At 38.4% G+C, this 18,631-nt stretch overlaps 1 long non-coding RNA gene across 1 annotated transcript in view; it reads left to right on the forward strand.

The window, feature by feature from the left end:
* Nucleotides 1-18,066, forward strand: part of LOC105379340 (uncharacterized) — a 39,195-nt gene extending 21,129 nt beyond the window's left edge. The window contains exons 4-5 of the long non-coding RNA XR_949607.3: nucleotides 13,738-13,802; nucleotides 17,325-18,066. This is a non-coding gene — a long non-coding RNA (uncharacterized LOC105379340). The remainder of the gene's footprint in view (nucleotides 1-13,737; nucleotides 13,803-17,324) is intronic.
* Nucleotides 18,067-18,631: the final 565 nt, after the last annotated feature.

Consider the following 18,631-nt stretch of genomic DNA (forward strand, 5'->3'; position numbering starts at 1 on the left):
GTGAAGTTTGCAGAGACAAGACTATGGCAAAGAATAAAATTTTCTTCCATATTCCATAGAAAACTACTAGAGAATTTAAGCTCAGGAGAATGGCTCAGTATGATTTAAGGTGTATGAAAGGTTCCTATGGCTACTATGTGGAGAAGGAATTGGAAGTTGGCTAGGAAAACACCAATTAATGGTAGCCCAGCTGAGAAATGATAATCAAGATGGGAGATATGAGAGATGAGGAGGTTGGCAGTGGAAATAGAGAAAACTGAAGGTCTTAAATGCATACATCTGGGAGGAACAAACAATAGAACTTGCTGATGAAGTTGGTGAGAGCATGAGGAATCAGGAATTCAACCAGATTTCTGACAAGCCACAAGCGGATGTTTCTTTTTACTCACTGAGATGGGAAAGACGAATTTTAGAAAGGTAGAGTGGGAATTGGTTATTTAATTTGTGACAATTAATTTTGAGGTGCCTGTAGCAGAAATTCAAATGGAGATAAAAAACTAACATGACCCTTCTGACGTCCCTACCAAATGCTCTGTGTATTCGGTGTGTTCTGTCCACTCTGGCTTGGTAAACTTGGATGATTCTCAGCTCTGTGTGAGCTCTGGAAAGGGTTCTCCTTACAGCTCCCTATCATTGCTCTCTCCTCAAATGTTGTTCTCATCTGGCAGTTTTTGGTTTTTCTCTGGAAATTTCTTCATTCATCTTCATTTTCTGGAAGGTATGAAAATTGAGCTGCTGCTATACTCAGCATCTGAAAGCATTATTTTTTTTTTATCTTCCAACATCTTTCATTTGTTGGGAAGATAACTATTTCATCTGTCTAGTTTTCACTGGTTTTCCCATGATGTGCCTAAGTGTGCTTTTTTGTGTATGTCTACATGGCTTGCAACTTAATTCTTTTTTTTTTTTTTTTTTTTTTTTTTTTTTTGAGACAGTCTCACTCTGTCGCCCAGGCTGGAGTGCAGTGGCGCGATCTCGGCTCACTGCAAGCTCCGCCTCCCAGGTTCACGCCATTCTCCTGCCTCAGCCTCCCGAGTAGCTGGAACTACAGGCGCCCACCACGCCCAGCTAATTTTTTGTATTTTTAGTAGAGACGGGGTTTCACTGTGTTAGCCAGGATGGTCTCGATCTCCTGACCTCGTGATCTGTCTGCCTCGGCCTCCCAAAGTGCTGGGATTACAGGCGTGAGCCACCGCGCCCAGCCGCAACTTAATTCTTGAATCAACCAACTGATATTTATCAATTGATTGATACATTTTTCCTACTTGGCAAAGTTGTTCAGTCTTGGTCTCTTCAAATATGTTTATAACTCATTCTTTCTATACTTTCCTTCTGAGAGTCCAAAGTGCATATATGCACTCCCTATGTCTCTTACACTCTCTTCTCTGTTTTCTATCCTTTTTTCTCTCTGTTTTTCAGTCTTGCTATTTTTTCAGATCTGCCTTCCAGTTTACTAATTCTTTCTTTATTATATATAGTCTTTAACTATATATATAGTCATTAACTATATATATATAGTCTTTAACTATATATATATAGTCTTTAACTATATATATAGTCTTTAACTATATATATATAGCCTTTAACTATATATATAGTCTTTAACTATATATATAGTCTTTAACTATATATATAGTCTTTAACTATATATATATAGTCTTTAACTATATATATAGTCTTTAACTATATATATATAGTCTTTAACTATATATATAGTCTTTAACTATATATAGTTTTTAACTATATATATAGTCTTTATATATATACAGTCTTTATATATATACCGTCTTTAACTATATATATAGTCTTGTACCTATATATATAGTCTTGTACCTATATATATAGTCTTGTACCTATATATAGTCTTGTAACTATATGTATATAGTCTTGTAACTATATAGTTACAAGCCATTGAGTTCTTAATATCGTTTTTATACATATAGAATTTTTGTTCATTTTGCATAATGTTTAGTTCTCTGAGGATATAAAAATATTTTTTATAAATCTCCTTAAATATAATAAAGATTTTCTGCCTCTGATAACTCCATTATCTAGAGCCATGGATCTGTTTCTGTTATCTGTTTTTAAATTCTGGTACTTACTGTATTGTCTTGTCTCCTCCCAAGCCTAGTTGTTTATTGTTTACTAGACATTTAAAGTTCTGGATGTTGATATATTCCTCTATAAATTATTTACCTTTGCTTTTTGCAAACAGCCAGGAATACCAGCAATTCTGGATTAAAGATAATTTCACAAATAAAATGATGTGAAGCTGTTAATCCTGATCCATTTCTTATTTAGCATTGTTTCTAAGGTATAGCTTCTTGAAGTTTCAATCCAGCGTGTTTCTTGGGGCTTCCATATTTAGTACATATTGAACTGTAAGTTTTGTACCCACAGGCACAGGATGCTGTCAAAAACTCTGGTCAAATTCTTAGACACTCAGCCATTTCTTCTTGAATTGATAGATTCCCCTAACAGAAAAGAGTCCACGGGAGTTCACCTCTAGATTTCCTTCTTATTCCAGATTTTGGTTGGCTTCACCGTTTTTCACTGCTTTGTTAATAGGGTTGTTTATATCTTCTATATTCTTCCTGATTTTCTCTTTACTTTTCTATCATTTATTGAGATGGGATATTGAAGTCTCTGACAAATTGCAGATTTGTTTATTTCTCCGTGCAGTTCTTTCAGTTTCTGCTTTATATACTTTAAAGCTATGTTATTAAGTATACCTAAGCATTTAGAATTGCTATGTTTTCTTGGTAATTTTATCTCCTTATCATTATGAAATGACTTTCTTCATTAGTCTTTTCTCTAAAATCTACGTATTCTGATATTAATATAGCTTTTATTTAATCATTGTTGTCATGGTATATATTTATCCATCCTTTTTCCTTTACCTTATTTGCATATTTATATTTAAAGTGGGTTTCTTGTCAATAGCATATCATTGTGTCCTGCTTTTTTATGCAATCTGACGATCTCTAATTTTTAATTGGAGGTGTTTAGACTATTTACATTAATATGACTATTTATGTGGTTAGATATAAGCCCATATCTTGCCATTTGTTTTCTACATGTTCTATCTGCTCTTTTTTTTCTTGTTTTTGCTTTCTTTCATACAAATTGAATATTTTCATGATTCCATTTTATATACTTCATTGAATTATATATAAACTATACATTATATATAGTATATATACAAAGTATACATTATATATAATGTATATATACAAAATATACATTAAATATAATGTAGATATATGAAGTATACATCGTATATAATATATAGCTATACAAAGTATATATACATCAAGTGTATTGTATGTGTGTATAGTGGTTTTATATAGAGAGAGACACATAAACACACATAGATGTATCTTTTATTAGTTTAGTGGTTGTGTTAAGGTTTATAACATGTGCTGTTAATTTATCACTCTCTACTTTCAAGTAAAGATGGGCTTTATTCATAGTATAAGAATCTTACAACAGTATATCTCCACTTTCCCCATCCCAGGCTTCATGTCATTATTCTCATACATTTTACTTCTACACATAGTATAAACCCCATAATATACATGGTATAAACTCAAAAATCATTTGGCTTTAAACAGTCAATTGTATTTTAAAGACTTAAAGAGATTTAAGATATTATTTTAAAGTCTTATATTTACCTACATACTTATCATTTCTGATGCTTTTAATTTTCTGTGTAAACCCAGATTCCCATCTAGTATCATTTTTCCTTTCCCTGAAGAATTTACTTCAACATTTCTTGTAGTAATGGTCTGCTAGTGGTAAATTCTGTCAACCTTTGTATGTCTATATATATAGAGAGAGACATACAAACGTTGACAGAATTTATATATATATATACTTTATATATATACTATATATGTGTGAATGTGTGTATATATATATACTTTATATATACTATATATGTGTGTATGTGTATATAAAGTATATATATATACTTAAAGTTCTAGGATACATATGCACAAGGTGCGGGTTTGATACATAGGTATACATGTGCCATGTTGGTTTGCTGCACCCATCAACTCATCATTTATATTAGGTATTTCTCCTAATGCTGTCCCTCCCCCAGCCCTCTAACCACTGACAGGCCCCAGTGTGTGATGTTCCCCGCCCTGTGTCCAGGCGTTCTCATTGTTCAATTCCCACCTATGAGTGAGAACATGTCTTTTTAAAAATATTTCTCGGCCATTCGCAGTGGCTCACGTCTGTAAACTGAACACTTTGGGAGGCCAAGGTGGGTGGATCACTTGAGGTCAGGAGTTTAAGACCAGCCTGGCCAACATAGGGAAACCCGTGTCTCTACTAACAATACAAGAATTAGCCAGGCATGGTGATACATGCCTGTAGTCCCAGCTACTCAGGAGGCTGAGGCAGGAGGATCGCATGAACTCGGGAGGCAGAGGTTACAGTGAGCCAAGATCACTCCACTGCACTCCAGCCTGGGCAACAGAGAGAGACTCTGTCTCAAAAAAAAATTTTTTTAAATTATCTTACCATTGTTTTTTAAATAAAAACATCATTTTCTTTAAACTGTTAGATTTCTTAAAAATGTAAATAGATTATAAACATAAAAGAAATGTCACTGGCCCATAATTATATTAAATTTAATCAACTTTTAGTTTGGTTCCCGTGGTTACTATTAGAAGGAAAAACCCTTAGACAAGTTATATTTAGTAGAACTTATTTCAGTAAGGAAAAGAGAAAAGAAAAATTCATCATTTGAACAGCCTCAGAACCAGAACAGGTTCAAAAATCTCTAATCTACAATGTTATCAGGCAGTATTTAGGGACAGAAAACAAAAGTGAGGTACAAAAATAGCTAAACTGGTTACAAAGACAGGAGACTGCCAGCCAGGCTACAATAGCTGTTGCAATCCCGTACTGCTTGGCTTTTTTTCCCTTGAAAGTTTGGCTGCTTTTAAGACTCTCTTGATCACTGGTCTTAAGGGAGTTGATTCTTGTGTTTGAGATTATCTGAGCTTTGCAATCTGAGTGTTTATAGCTTTCATCAAATTTGGAATTTTTTCAGGCAGTATTTCTTAAAGTGTATTTCTCCCCAACTTCCTCCTTCAGGGACTCCTATTACCTGTACATTAGGGTGCTTAAAGCTATTCCACAACTTACTAACATTTGTTTGTTTGTTTTTCAAAAAATGTTCCTTCATGTGTTTTATTTTAGTTTTGATTTCCATGACTTTAAGTTCTCTAATCTTTTCTTCAGCAGTGTTTAATTCCATCTCCTGAATTTTTTATAACAGGTATTGTACTTTTTTATCTTGGACATTGGATTTTTCATGTATAGACATTTGTGTCTTTTTTAAAAATATATCTCCCATGTCTCTACTTAACATGTTCGAGTTCTCCTTACCTTTTTGAACATGTAGGTTTCAATATATGTATAGGTTTTAATAACTGTTTTAATATACTTATCTACTAATTCTATCATTGCTAGCATTTCTGAGTCTCTTCTATTGATTGATTTTTTCCTTCCACTCTTTTGCATGCCTAGTGATTTTTTAATAGATGTTAGCCATTGTGAATTTTGTCATGTAGCATGCGCTGGATTTTTTTTTTTTTTTTTTTTTTTTTTTTTTTTTTTTTTTTTGAGAAGGAGTTTCACTCTTGTCACCAGGCTGGAGTGCAATGGCATGATCTTAGCTCACCACAACCTCCGTCTCCCAGGTTCAAGTGATTCTCTTGCCTCAGCCCCCTGAGTAGCTGGGATTCCAGGCACACATCACCACGCCGGGTAATTTTTTTGTATTTTTAGTAGAGATGGGGTTTCACCACTTTGTCCAGGCTGGTCTTGAACTCCTGACCTCATGTGATCCACCTGCCTCAGCCTCCCAAAATGCTGGGATTACAGGCATGAGCCGCTGCACCTGGCCTTTGCTGGATATTTTTGTATTCCTATAAATATTCTTACCTTTATTTTGGGACACAGTCAAGTAACTTGGTAATAGATTGATCTTTTCAAGACTTTACGTGTTGTTATATAGGACGAGAGTGACCTTTTTTCCAGGGCTAATTTTGCCCCACTGTTGAGCCAATACCTTCCTGTATGTTATATGGCATACCCTATGAATTGCTTGGGTTTCCATTCTGGCTCATGGGAACACAAATTACTTTCAGCCCTTTCAGAGTGCCAGGGATTGGTCCCTGTATTTCCTTTGTGTAGATCTTTTCCTGGTATTGGGCAATTTACTCACTTGCATGAGCAGATCAGTATTCAGCTGTAGATACAAAAGGGACCTTCTGAAGATCTCCGTATCTCTCCATTCACATCTGTCTCTCTTCTTCAGTACTTTGTCAGGCAAACTCTGCCTTGGCATCTTCACACCCCGAGCTCTTTCATCAACCTGGAGAGACCTCTAGGCATTGACTGAGTTTTTCCTCTCTTCACTGCAACCTGAAAACACTGTAATAAAAAGACTAGGGACATCGTTGGGATCATCTTTTTCTCCTTTCTCAGGCACCGTTATCTTGTGCTGCCTGCTGTCCTGTTTTATATAGGTCCAATTTTTTAGTTGTTTCAAGGCAGGAGGATAAATCTGATATTAGTTTCTCCAATCTGGCTAAAAGCAGAAGTCCTCACTATGCAGTCAGCTCACCACCCATGCCTTCATGTATATAGTATAGTGCAGCCATTCTAATTGTTTTTACTGGGAAGGTTTATCCTGGTTTTGAAGTTTCCTATCTCACTCACCATGATATTAATCTCCCCTTGTTCTTACTAGGTATAACTGCTTAGTTCCTGCCATGACGTAACTCTCCTAAAATTACTTTTATCTATATATTTCCTTCTGAGTTCTCTTTTTTTCTTTTTTTTTTTTTTTTTTTTTTTTGAGAGAGAGAGGTTCTTGCTCTGGCACCCAGGCTGGATTGCAGTGGCACAAACAAATCTCACTGCAGCCCCGAACTCCTGGGTAGAAGCAATCCTCTCACCTCACCTTCCCAAATAGCTGAGACGAAAGGTACATGCCACGACACCTGGCTTAAGTTTTTTTATTTTTATTTTTTTGTAGACTTGGAGTCCCACTATGTTGCCCAGGCTGGTCTTGAACTCCTGGCCTTAAATGATCCTCCCACCTTGACCTCCCATCTCTTGAGGTATATATAGCCAAGAGTTTTAGCGGTCCCATAGGTTCTGTCTCTGGTATCTTTCTCAGCACATAGCCTTTATGACAATGGCAATCACATTTTTCCTCTTAAACACTAACCTCTTGATTGTTATGTAGCCTCACTTTTCCCCTGTATTTTAAACATGTTTTATTAAAATAATTTGTTATATCAATAATCTTATTTTCTTTATATGATATGTTTTATTTTTATCTCCTATCCTTCCTCTTCATCCATTTCCATATATCTTATCATCATAAGTATTACTCACATTGTAATCTTCATTACCATCACACAATCCCAGCATATCCACCAGTTCCAAAGTTTCCCAACACATTCCCACAGCTAGAGACCAGTTGAGTAAGAGAATTAAATGTATCTTTTTCCCACCAGTATCAGATAACAGCTTGAGTAACTCCCTTAATGCATGAGCCATGTTTGCTCATTTGGGACTTTGTGCACATGATTTGCAGTTATTTTCACAGCTTCAGTCACCTATGTGATACTTCTTCCAAATGATCAGCCTTCTATTTTCATAACAGGCCTTTCAATCTGCTAAAGTCTTTTCTCAAGTAAGAGTTTCTCTTGTATCCGGCAGAAGAGAACCCTGAACCCAGCTCTGAATCAGCATCCTTCATAACTATATTCACCCACTAGCACCCTAAGGCATATATATATATGTGTGTATATATATGTGCATATATATGTGTGTATATATATGTGCATATATATGTGTGTATATATATGTGTATATATATGTGTATATATATGTGTATATATATATGTGTGTGTATATATATATATTCTTTTTCTTGGGGATATTTGATTAAAAGGAACAGTATAATCCATGTTGGGACTTTGGCTAAACTACTTTTTGTATTTCTACACTCTGCTGAGATAACTTGGGATACTTTTACTGGGAGAATTCTTTTTCATCCAGTTTATAGACAGGCTTAAATTGTCTGCCTCAAGACCCTTTTCTCTGGGCCCCAACTTGGTTACCACTTTGTCTTCTGAGAGATGGAGGGCACCATGGAGTGCTGCCTTCTTGAACGTAGGAGAAAGTACCACGCCATCCTACATCAGCCAAATTAGAAAAGAATTACAAAGAGAAACAGTCCAAAAAGGGGAATTGACTCAAGAAAAACAAGGAGGCAATCTCAAGTGGAAGGAACTTTTGATTTCTTGGTTTTCTCCCTTGAGAGCACCAACTCCTAACCCAAAGTCCTAAATATGTCCCTGGGTGCCTGATGCAAGCGCACAGCTCCCGGAACGAAAGGGAGGGTGGAACCCAGGAGAAAGCCTGGAGCTCCCCCTAATGCGACTTAAGGCAATCATTTTATTGGACTTTTCCTGATAAAAGACAATCTTTGTGTAACTTCTTCCCTTCTCCTCTTTCTCTTCTTCGGAGTGAATGGAAAGAGGAACAAGAGAAGCATAGTCTTCAGAGATACCAAAAATATTCATGTATAGTTCAAAGGGAGAAAAACAAAAGAAAGAAGGAAGGGAAGAAAAAAGAGAGACAGAAAGGGAAGGAGGGAGAAAGCAAATAATGGAAAGAGGAAGGAAGAAAATAAGGATGGAACAGGAAACTAACTTCCTGGAATGCCCATAATCCTTCCCAAAATGTGCTAGGAACTTTGCATAGGTTATGTGATTAATGCTCATTACAATCTTAAAAAGAAGTATTTTCTATTATCACCACATTATAGCGGGAGCAACTGTGTCTCAGACAAAGAAGATAATTTTGTTGATGCCAAGGTAATGTTTGTTCAAAGCTCGGGTAATGACGAGAAGGTGATGTATGAATAAATTATTCCCTGATAAGGTATGTGGTCATTCAGCAATGATGGTTAGTTGGTAAACCCTGGGAAGAAGAACATGAAAGATATTAGAAATTTGGAGGACCTGGGGAGATTTTAGGGGAAGAAGAGTGAAGAGAAGCCACAACTGATAGTAACTGAATGGGCACTGTGCAGCCAGGGATCAGAGATGTGCTCTCAGAATCAGTCAGCAGACCCCAAGTACCACTGAGTTTGGGAATCCGTCACTGTTTTGAAGCACAATGAAGTAATAAGCTACATATGGAAAGAAAGGCCTTTTCCTCCCCAGGGACCAAAGGAATCAGAAGGTCCACAGTCTTAGACTGGAAAGTAAAAGTGAGCTTGAACATGTAACAGATGGACACATGGTTCATTCAATTACTATTCCCTACAAATGCAGCAACATTGGCTGGACGCCATGTTACTAAATGAGATATGGTTCCCATAACCCACCCAACTGGGAAATGAAATAAAATAGGCCTAAATTTCACAAAGAAATATTTAAGGTAACTCTCAACTGAATACTGTCAATCTGTATACATGAAACTTCTTTATAATCTTTATCCACAAATTCTTTCAAACTGCAATAAATCGGTGAAGTTGAAACAGCTAACTGAAAAAGATCTCAGATATACGTCTGCCTGATTTATAATGGGGATTATTAGTATAAAAGCCAAAATATATGCCTTTAAGATTGTGTATTGTAAAACTAAGAATTAATGATTTTGAAAAAAAATTATCATTATGCAACCCTCCCTGCAGTCAAATAATCTATTGGAATAGCTAAATGTGTGGATCATTGATTCTTATTTAGGCTGATAATTAAAGTCATTAAGTTGATCTACTAGGTTTGAAAAGGAATAATTCATTGATTACCAATGAAATCTAGGACAAATATTAATTTGTATCTAAAATATCCTGAGTAGAAGTCAATTGTCCACCTTTGGATAAAATAACTTGTAGGCTTGATCAAAAGTAATCTGTCAATTTAGCATCAACTGGAGAGTTTAAAAAAATATGGATAGATAAGCACCAAGGAAAAAGCTCATGTTATAGGAGGAAGACAAGATGGTAGCTGAGCCAATGGATGCTAAGGAATCGGACAAGAGAAGTGAGCTCAGAAAAACAGGTGAACGTGAACCTTAGTCACCTAACAAAAAGTGGCCATTGAGCATGAACAACAAGGTAAAATTGTGAAAGCTTCTATTTTACAATGAAGTAAGCTTCTACCTATGACCCTAAGAGCACTGCCAGCCAAAACACCTTTGCTAGATTTATATAGTTTGTGAGCCTAAAATACCAATACTTGTGTGTGCTGGAAATAAAAGAATATAAAGCAGAGAGGGAAAGGTGGGAGGATTTGTCAGCTCCAGATTCATCAAGTGGCGCTTGGAAAGAGTAGAAATTTAAAAGTGAAGTTGTTTAAATCCCACTCCAGATGTTGGTGTCTTTCCCTGTTATTTTCTCCCCACCCTGCACCCCAGAATTCCGCTGTTGTCTGTTGCAGTGACATTGGGAGAAAGGCAAGCAATGGAAAAAGTAGGTAAATGGAGAAGTAACATTTATTGAGAACCTAGCTGCGTATCAGGCACTTTGCTGTTTTATTACATACATTATTACACTTGACTCTCAAAGTACCCCATTCGGTGAGTTTTATCATCCCCATTTTAGAAATGAGAAAATGAAGACTTAGACATATCTTCCCTCATCTCGTGCAACTTGTAAGTTGTAGGAAACATGTTTGAGCCTAGATCTGTTTAAATCCAAAATCAAACAGAGGCTGCCATATTTGAGGATGCCCATCAGTGGAAATAGCATAATGTTACCCTGAGGAAAGGAGTCAGATACCTTCGATCTAGTGCCCTGTCACAGGCTTTGACAAAGAGCACCACCCTCGGGTGCCATTCTATTGTTCTTCTTTGGCCATCAGGAGGAGATTCAGACATACATGACACTTTCCCAAAAAATGCAGGAGACATGGTGACATACACACAATAACCCATTACTGAGGATGACTACTTGGGGAGACAAGATATATATAAGCAAACACTCAGTGTTCTTGCATTTTCATGGGATTTTTATGGGTTACATTTTATCATCAATCATAAATTGATTATTCACAAGAAGAAACGTGTTTTTCTGAAAAATAGCTAGCAACATATTGATCTGAACACTTCAGGGAAAATGTGATGAAGTAGAAAATTAATGGAGAGTAGAGAAGTGAAAGCGTTTCAGTCTTTTGAGAATATGGTAATAATCCCGAGCTAAGGTACTAATGACTTATTGCTAATGTTGTTAGCCATGTCTTGGATGCTGGATTCATTCATCCAATAAAATTTATCATTAAAGATCATTTATAGGAATAATTGTAATCAGTGGCATTCATGAATAGATAATTCAATTGGAAAATATTTCTTAGATGCCCCAAAACAACAATTAATATTTATTGAGCCTCTGTTATGCACTAAGCCTTTGTTGATTAGTGCCAAAGAAAAAGAACTCGGCTGGGCCCCATGGCTCACACCTGTAATCCCAGCACTTTGGGAGGCCGAGGCAGGTGGATCACCTGAGATCAGGAGTTCAAGACCAGCCTGGCCAACATGGCGAAGCCTCGTCTCTACTAAAAATACAAAAATTAGCCGGGGATGGTAGTGGGTGCCTGTAATCTCAGCTACTCAGGAGGCTGAAGCAGGAGAATTTCTTGAACCCAGGAGGCGGAGGTTGCGGTGAGCTGAGATCTTGCCACTGCACTCCAGCCTGGGTGACAAGCAAGACTCTGGAAACAAAAAAAAAGAACTCAACACCTTGTTGGGGAGACCTACATGAACATATTAAATTACAATTGAACCCGTACTTAATGTAATATTTATTAACCCTAAAGGAATAAAATGAAGATAGATTCCCTATGTGTTAGTGACTATTTCATTGGAAGGGTTTGATTGTCATGTGAATTTTGGGAATGTAACAGGATTCTCATATATTTTAATATGCTGTTGTACATGGTCAGTCTCCAAGAGCATTAGCAGGCAATCTTTCCCACACGTGTTGGACCAATGGAACCTTTCTTCATGGAGCATTTTTATGAAAACTACACTGAGAAATGTTGGTGGTGGAGATAAAACATGAACAGAAAATGGCAAAAATCCACTGTGGAGTAAGATAAGCATGTTAAAAGAAGTACTTTCTGTCACTCTCAACACTCCAGTTACAGCTCATAAATCACAGAAGAACGTGCGAAGAATAGCGACCACTGCGGTTTGCACCATCTTGGCGGATTTTCATGACCTTGCTATGCCAGCCATTGTTATCAAAGGATATAATCTGATAGCTCACAGGCGTTGGGTCTTCCAAAGCCATAAACATCCCAACACCCTCTCATCACCATAGCAACCCTATCCCAATTACCAATGGTAACAGCCTGTCTCGTGAAAGTATACGTTTTTGCTGAACTATTGCTCAAGCTCCCAGAAAGAAAACAGCCAGAGCACCACCTGGTGGCCATAACTCTCTCCTGCAAGCTCCCAGACCACTTTGAGGGGCAATGCCAGGCACTCAGAATACCAAGGCTTCCTTGCTGCACAGATCCTCCCCATTCTCAGAAACAGCATGACTACACAGAATTTGCACAGAAATAAATGTCCATGCTTATCTCAATGGAAAACAATTCCCAAGCCTAGTGGAAAATTCTCAGTACGTAATAGAAAGCCAAGACGGAAAAGTAGGAAGGAGAAAGTAGAAATAGAAGCATAAATTTGGTCTTCAAGAAATGGATTTGAGGGAGAGGGGAGGAAGAGCATCAGGATAAAGCTAATGCATGTGGGGCTTCATACCTAGGTGATGGGTTAAGAGGTGCAAGTCACCATGGCACACATTTATATCTATATAACAAATCTGCACGTCCTGTACATGTATCCCAGAACTTAAAATAAAACTAAATTTTTTAAAAAAGAAATGCATTTGATCTGGAAAATAAATATCTCTCATGGACTGTTTAATGAGATCCACTTTATCTACTTTAGTACACAATGAATAGTGAGGAAATAAGTAGATAAACATACCCTTTAAAATGAATGTTTTGCCCCATGCCACAAGTGATAAAAGTTGATCAATATAAACATTAAAATAGTTTAAGATGGCCAATTATGAAACAGCAGTCTAGCAATACCCTTGAAGTCAAAGCACCCTGAGCCCTCCTGGTTATGTGACCCCATAAAGTCCCTTTAATATTTAAATTCATTTGATTTGATAGATGAGTTTCTAGCATCTATACCAGAAGAGTACTTATTAATACATCATACATTTTGTTCATGTCTTGTTCATTTTTAAAGTTTTCATTTGTCTTTTTCCTCTGGATTCTAAGAGAATTTTCCACCTTGGCTTGAATACTTTATTCATGGTGAGTTTATTTATTTATTTATTTATTTATTTACTCACTTACTTATAAATTAAAATATTTATATATATAACCAATTCTAATGCATGTCTCAATTCTGGTACGCATTTTATTTTCCTGAAATACTTCCCAATATCATAGGGATCTCATTTTATGTTTTTCTTTCTCTTCTCAGTCCATTTCACATAAATCTATTTTCTCATCTTTCATCATTACTTTGGTCCATATCTTCTGGAATTTTATAGAGACAAAGCAAATGCTATTTAAAATATTTCTATGGTAATAAATATGTCTCAAAGCAATACCAACCATTCCTATGCAACTTAGTGCTATGAAAGCCTTGTTTTGTGCTTTTGTCTCTTTTCAGTCTGATTGCATTTTCCCTGTTGACACGTCCTTGAACAAGGACAATTCTACATGACCCTGGCATTGGTAAGTCTCTTTCTGCCCATTTTATGTCTCTCTATTTTCTGTGGAGTCCTTATTACAGAGCATAAGCTAAAGGGCTGGCTGGTAATCATCTACATTACCATTCAGTGACACAGCAGCTGGAGGTGACTGAAAAGAAAAATCCTTGAGGAGCCCCAGGAGGCAAAATCTACCCCTGTGCAGTCTCTTTTGCATATTTTACATAAGTTTTCCCTATCAAATCTCGTCTTTGGTTTGACTTCGCTACAAGGTTCCCAGATGGCTGTGCCTGGCTTTTTTCCTGGCTTTGTTTCTGGAGCCACTGTTCTCCTAGGGCAGTGGAGGGGGAGCTGCTCTGGCTTTCTGCCTGAAAGAGCCCTGCAGGACCCCAGCCTCCAGTTCCTCCCATTGCCTTCAGATTAGATTGCTCCTCACTGGCAGGAGGAATTTCAAGAAGCATGTGTTTCCTTGTGTTCCTGAACCTGCCACCACCTTTCTCCCCTGACTCTTCAAGTTAGGGTGTGTGGTGCGCAGAACCGCAAAGATGGCCCCCCAAGATGCCCATTCTATGGAAATGGGGTTCTTCAACCAAACACCAGTCTGGCTGCTGCTGTGAAGAGATTTTGCAGGTGTCATTGAACTCCCAAATCAATTGACCCAAAGCTATTAGAGATAAGCCATGTCCTTAGAGCAGCGCCACAGAGATTATCCAGGTGGAGCTAATTTAAGGACAGGAGCCCTTTAAAGCAGAAAAGAGAGGCAGAGGACTTGAAGCATAAGGATTAGATGGGTCCTTGCTGGCTTGAAAATGCAGATTGCACATGAGCAGGAATGTTAGTGACCTCCAGCTGCACAGAGCAGGTCCCAGCTACAGCCTGCAAGGAACCGAGGACCTCAGACCTATGACCAGGAGGAACTGGAATCTGCCAACATGAATGAGCTTGGAACTAGACCTTTCCCATAATTTCCAGATAGGAGTCTAGCCTAGCCAACCCCTTGGTTTCAATGTCATGAGACCCTGAGAGATCAACAGAGCCCAGGCTAGAATCCTTACCCACAGAACCACAGCTGATAAATGGGTAGAGATTTAAGCTGCTGAGTTACAGCGGCAAGAGAAAATGAATACAGGATGTATTCATGGGCTACTTCTAGAATCCCCTCTGCTCTCTTGAGTTGAGATTGTGCAGCTTTTCTTGGGAAGGGAGCTTCAAGTCAACCCTCAGTGCCTGCCTTCAATCTGGTTCTATCAGCATGAGATGTAGCAAAAATGCATTAAGATAGTATTTCCATGTTACAGAAGAGTAAAGCTCGGAGATATTAATTTGCACGATATCACACAGCTACACATTTTTAGAGCTAAGATTTAATGCAAGTTCAAAACCCATCTTTTTTCAACAGTGCTAAGTTGCCCATGTTAGAAATGTCAAGTACATGGCAGGTGTTTCACCACTTTCTTCTCCTCCTGTACTCACATCAGACGGCTCCCATCAATCACAGGGCTCTTTTGCAATGAGTCCAGTTGGGGTCTCAGAATCCTTCCCAAAACAGGGTCCCAAAGCCTACAGTTAGCTCCAGTGATTGAAGCTGGCATAAGAAGTGAAAATATTTTCCCATCTCCAGACTAATCCACGTCAGATAAAAATCCACCACCTATTTTTCTCTACCCATCTCCTCCTTTCCTTCCCCAATTCGCTAAACACCTCTTTGGTCTTCTTTTTTAAACACTCACCCAAACCTTTGACCTGGAATGCCACAAATCTAAAAGATCTTCTATCCAGCGACAACAGCCCTTTGGAGACATATCAAAGTCCTTTGCCGGTTTAAGCTCTGCCTCTCCCATGTGTTGTATTCAGCACAGAACGACAAGGGTTGAGCAGCAGGGTTAGAACAGATGTGACACATCAGCCTACCACTGCAGTCTGGCCTTTTTGGAGGAAGCTTTTCCTACCCTCCCAGACTAGGTCAGGTCTCCCAGGTGCACATCCTCTTAGCGCCATGTCCTTCCCTACAGAGAACTTATCATTTTTATTCCAGCCTAATTTTCAGGTATTTTTTCTGTCTTCCCCTCCAGTCTCTTTGCTCCATGAACAAAGGCCACAACTGTATTTACCCAGCGTTGTCTCTCAGCACCTAGCACAATGTCTAGAACAGGCACTCAAAACATTGTTTGGTTTCCCTGTATACTGAGATACTCTTCCCACCCACCATGCAATTTTTCCCTAGTGAGCTCGTGGCATTCAGTAATACCATTTGCATAAGCACAGAAGGATCTAGGCTTTGCTGGATGTCTTTGGCTTTTCATTAATACATCATCAGTCAGACACCTGAATTATTAGAGGTTACATAGCACCAATTATGGGAGGGGGAACAGTGGAAGAACAAGTTGCAGAGGCTGCACCTGAGTGGCTCTGTTGAAGAGAGGAGGATGTCAGAGCCTACAGTTACCAGACACCGTGCTCCTTCAATCCTGTTGATTTACCATCTCTAATGTATTTCTTCATGGTTTAAGTTGCCTGCTTTGCTGTTTGAAGATGCAGCCTGGGCAATCTGAAATAACTTTTGAATTAAGAGATTTGAACTGAAATGTTGCCCTTACCACTGTGTGATCTGTATGATCTTGGAAGAGTCATGTTCTCTCTCTAAGCATGAATTTCCTCGTCTGGCAAATGAAGGATATGGACTAATGGTCTCTAAGGGATTGTCCAGCCCAAAAGTCTATGATTAAATGAAGGAAACATTAAGTCAATAGATTTGTCAAGAACATGTCAGGATATTATGCCACTATAGTTTTTTTGTTTGTTTGTTTGTGATGGAGTCTCACTCTGTCACCCAGGCTGGAGTGCAGTGGCACGATCTTGGCTAACTGCAACCTCCACCTCCCGGGTTCGAGCAATACTCCTGCCTCAGCCTCTGGAGTAGCTGGGACTACAGGCATGCACCACCATGCCCAACTAATTTTTGTATTTTAGTAAAGATGGGGTTGGCCAGGCTGGTCTCGAACTCCTGACCTCAGGTGATACACCCGCCTCAGATGGATCTCAAAGTCCTGGGATTACAGGCATGAGCCACCATGCCTGGCCTACTATAGTTTTGACTGGAGAATGATGAACATTCTGGGCTCCCCATTTAATCAGCAATATCTGGAATAATAACTGCTTCAGAATTGCCAATTAGCAGGGATAGGTTCAGTCACAGTCTAGTCCTGAATATGAAACCTGGAAGCTTTCTTGTGGGGGAGGCATTATATTGGCTTCCTACCCAATAGCTGTTCCATGCATCTTCGTTACTGACAGCCTGACCTCCTACTTTATTCTCAACATAGAGACTAGAAGTGTCAATGTTCTCTCTACCAGGAGAATTCTTCCCAAAACAGGGTCCCAGAGCCTACAGATAGCTCCAGAGATTGAAGTTGGCATAAGAAATGAAAATATTTTGCCATCTCCAGCCTAACCCATGTCAGATAAAAATCCACCACCTATTTTTCTCAACCCATCTCCTCCTTCTTTTCCCCAATCCGCTAAACACCTCTTTGGTCTTCTCTTTTAGCCACCTACTCAAACCTTTGATCTGGAATGCCACAAATCTAAGAGATCTTCTATCCGGTGACAACAGCTCTTTGCAGACATTGCAAAGTCCTTTTCTGGTTTAAGCTCTGCCTCTGCCATGTGTTGTAATCAGCACAGAATGACAAGGGGTGAGCAGCAGTGTTAGAACAGATGTGACACACCTGCAGCCTACCACTGCAGCCTGGCCTTTTTGGAGGAAGTCTTCCCTACTTTCTACCAGCCTGGCAACCTGAACATAGAACATGACCACATGAGTCCAGAAGACCTGAAGAGAAGTGTACAGATTTGGGTTTTCTTCCCAAAGAAGAAGAGGTGGGCAGGAGAAACTTCTTCCTGCTTGTGGATGCAGTTGTGCGAGAATATAATTCCCAAAGCAACAACAGCAGCCACTTTGTGACCACGAGGTAACCAACCCAAATGGAAGCCAATGTGGTAAGGAAGGCAGAACAAAATTTGTTTAATACAGATTTTTAATGATCTTATTAAGCTCTTCGAACCAAGTTTGGAACTACCTTCCTCAGAATGAAAAAAACAAAAACAACTGGGAATTCTGTATCCGAGATGCTTGTAGCCCGCCTTTCTAGCATAGGGTACATTCACTCCAGCTGGTTTACCTCTTGCTATCAAAATACATAGGGCCTTTGTTGGTTGTTTGGATTTCCTCTCAGTGTTGTGCAGACCAACAAAATTTGGGGGTATATTAAAGTAAATATGCTTTAAAATTAGTGGTTGCACTGTGTTCTTATTTAACACATCCATTCAGGAAGGAATATGATTATGAGCATGGATTTTGATCAGATCGCCTAAATTTAAAACTCACATCCACCTCTTACTAATTTTGGGATCTAAGGAAAGTTACTAAACACTCTACCTCGGTTCCCTTATGTGTAAAGTGAGGCTATTACTGGTATTTACCAGAAGAGCTGTTATGAGGCTTTCGTGAGTTAACACATAATGTGCTTAGGACAATGCCTAGGTTAGAGTAGCTGCTCCTTAAAGCTAGCAATTACAGCCACCCCTCTGCATCCACAGATTCTGTATCCGTAAATTCAACTGTAGATCAAATATATATTTTAAAAAAAGGATGGTTGCATCTATACCGAACATGTGCAGATTTTTCTCTTGTCATTATTCCCTAAACAATACAGTCTAACAACTACTTACGTAGCATTTACGTGGTATTAGGTATCATAAGTAATCTAGAAACGATGTAAAATATATTGGAGACTGTGCAGTTTTTTGTTTGGGGGGTTTTTGGGGTTTTTGTATGTTTCTTTTTTTTTTTTG

This window comes from Homo sapiens, chromosome 8 (genome assembly GCF_000001405.40).
Source record: "Homo sapiens chromosome 8, GRCh38.p14 Primary Assembly".
Classification (NCBI taxonomy): Eukaryota; Metazoa; Chordata; class Mammalia; order Primates; family Hominidae; genus Homo; species Homo sapiens.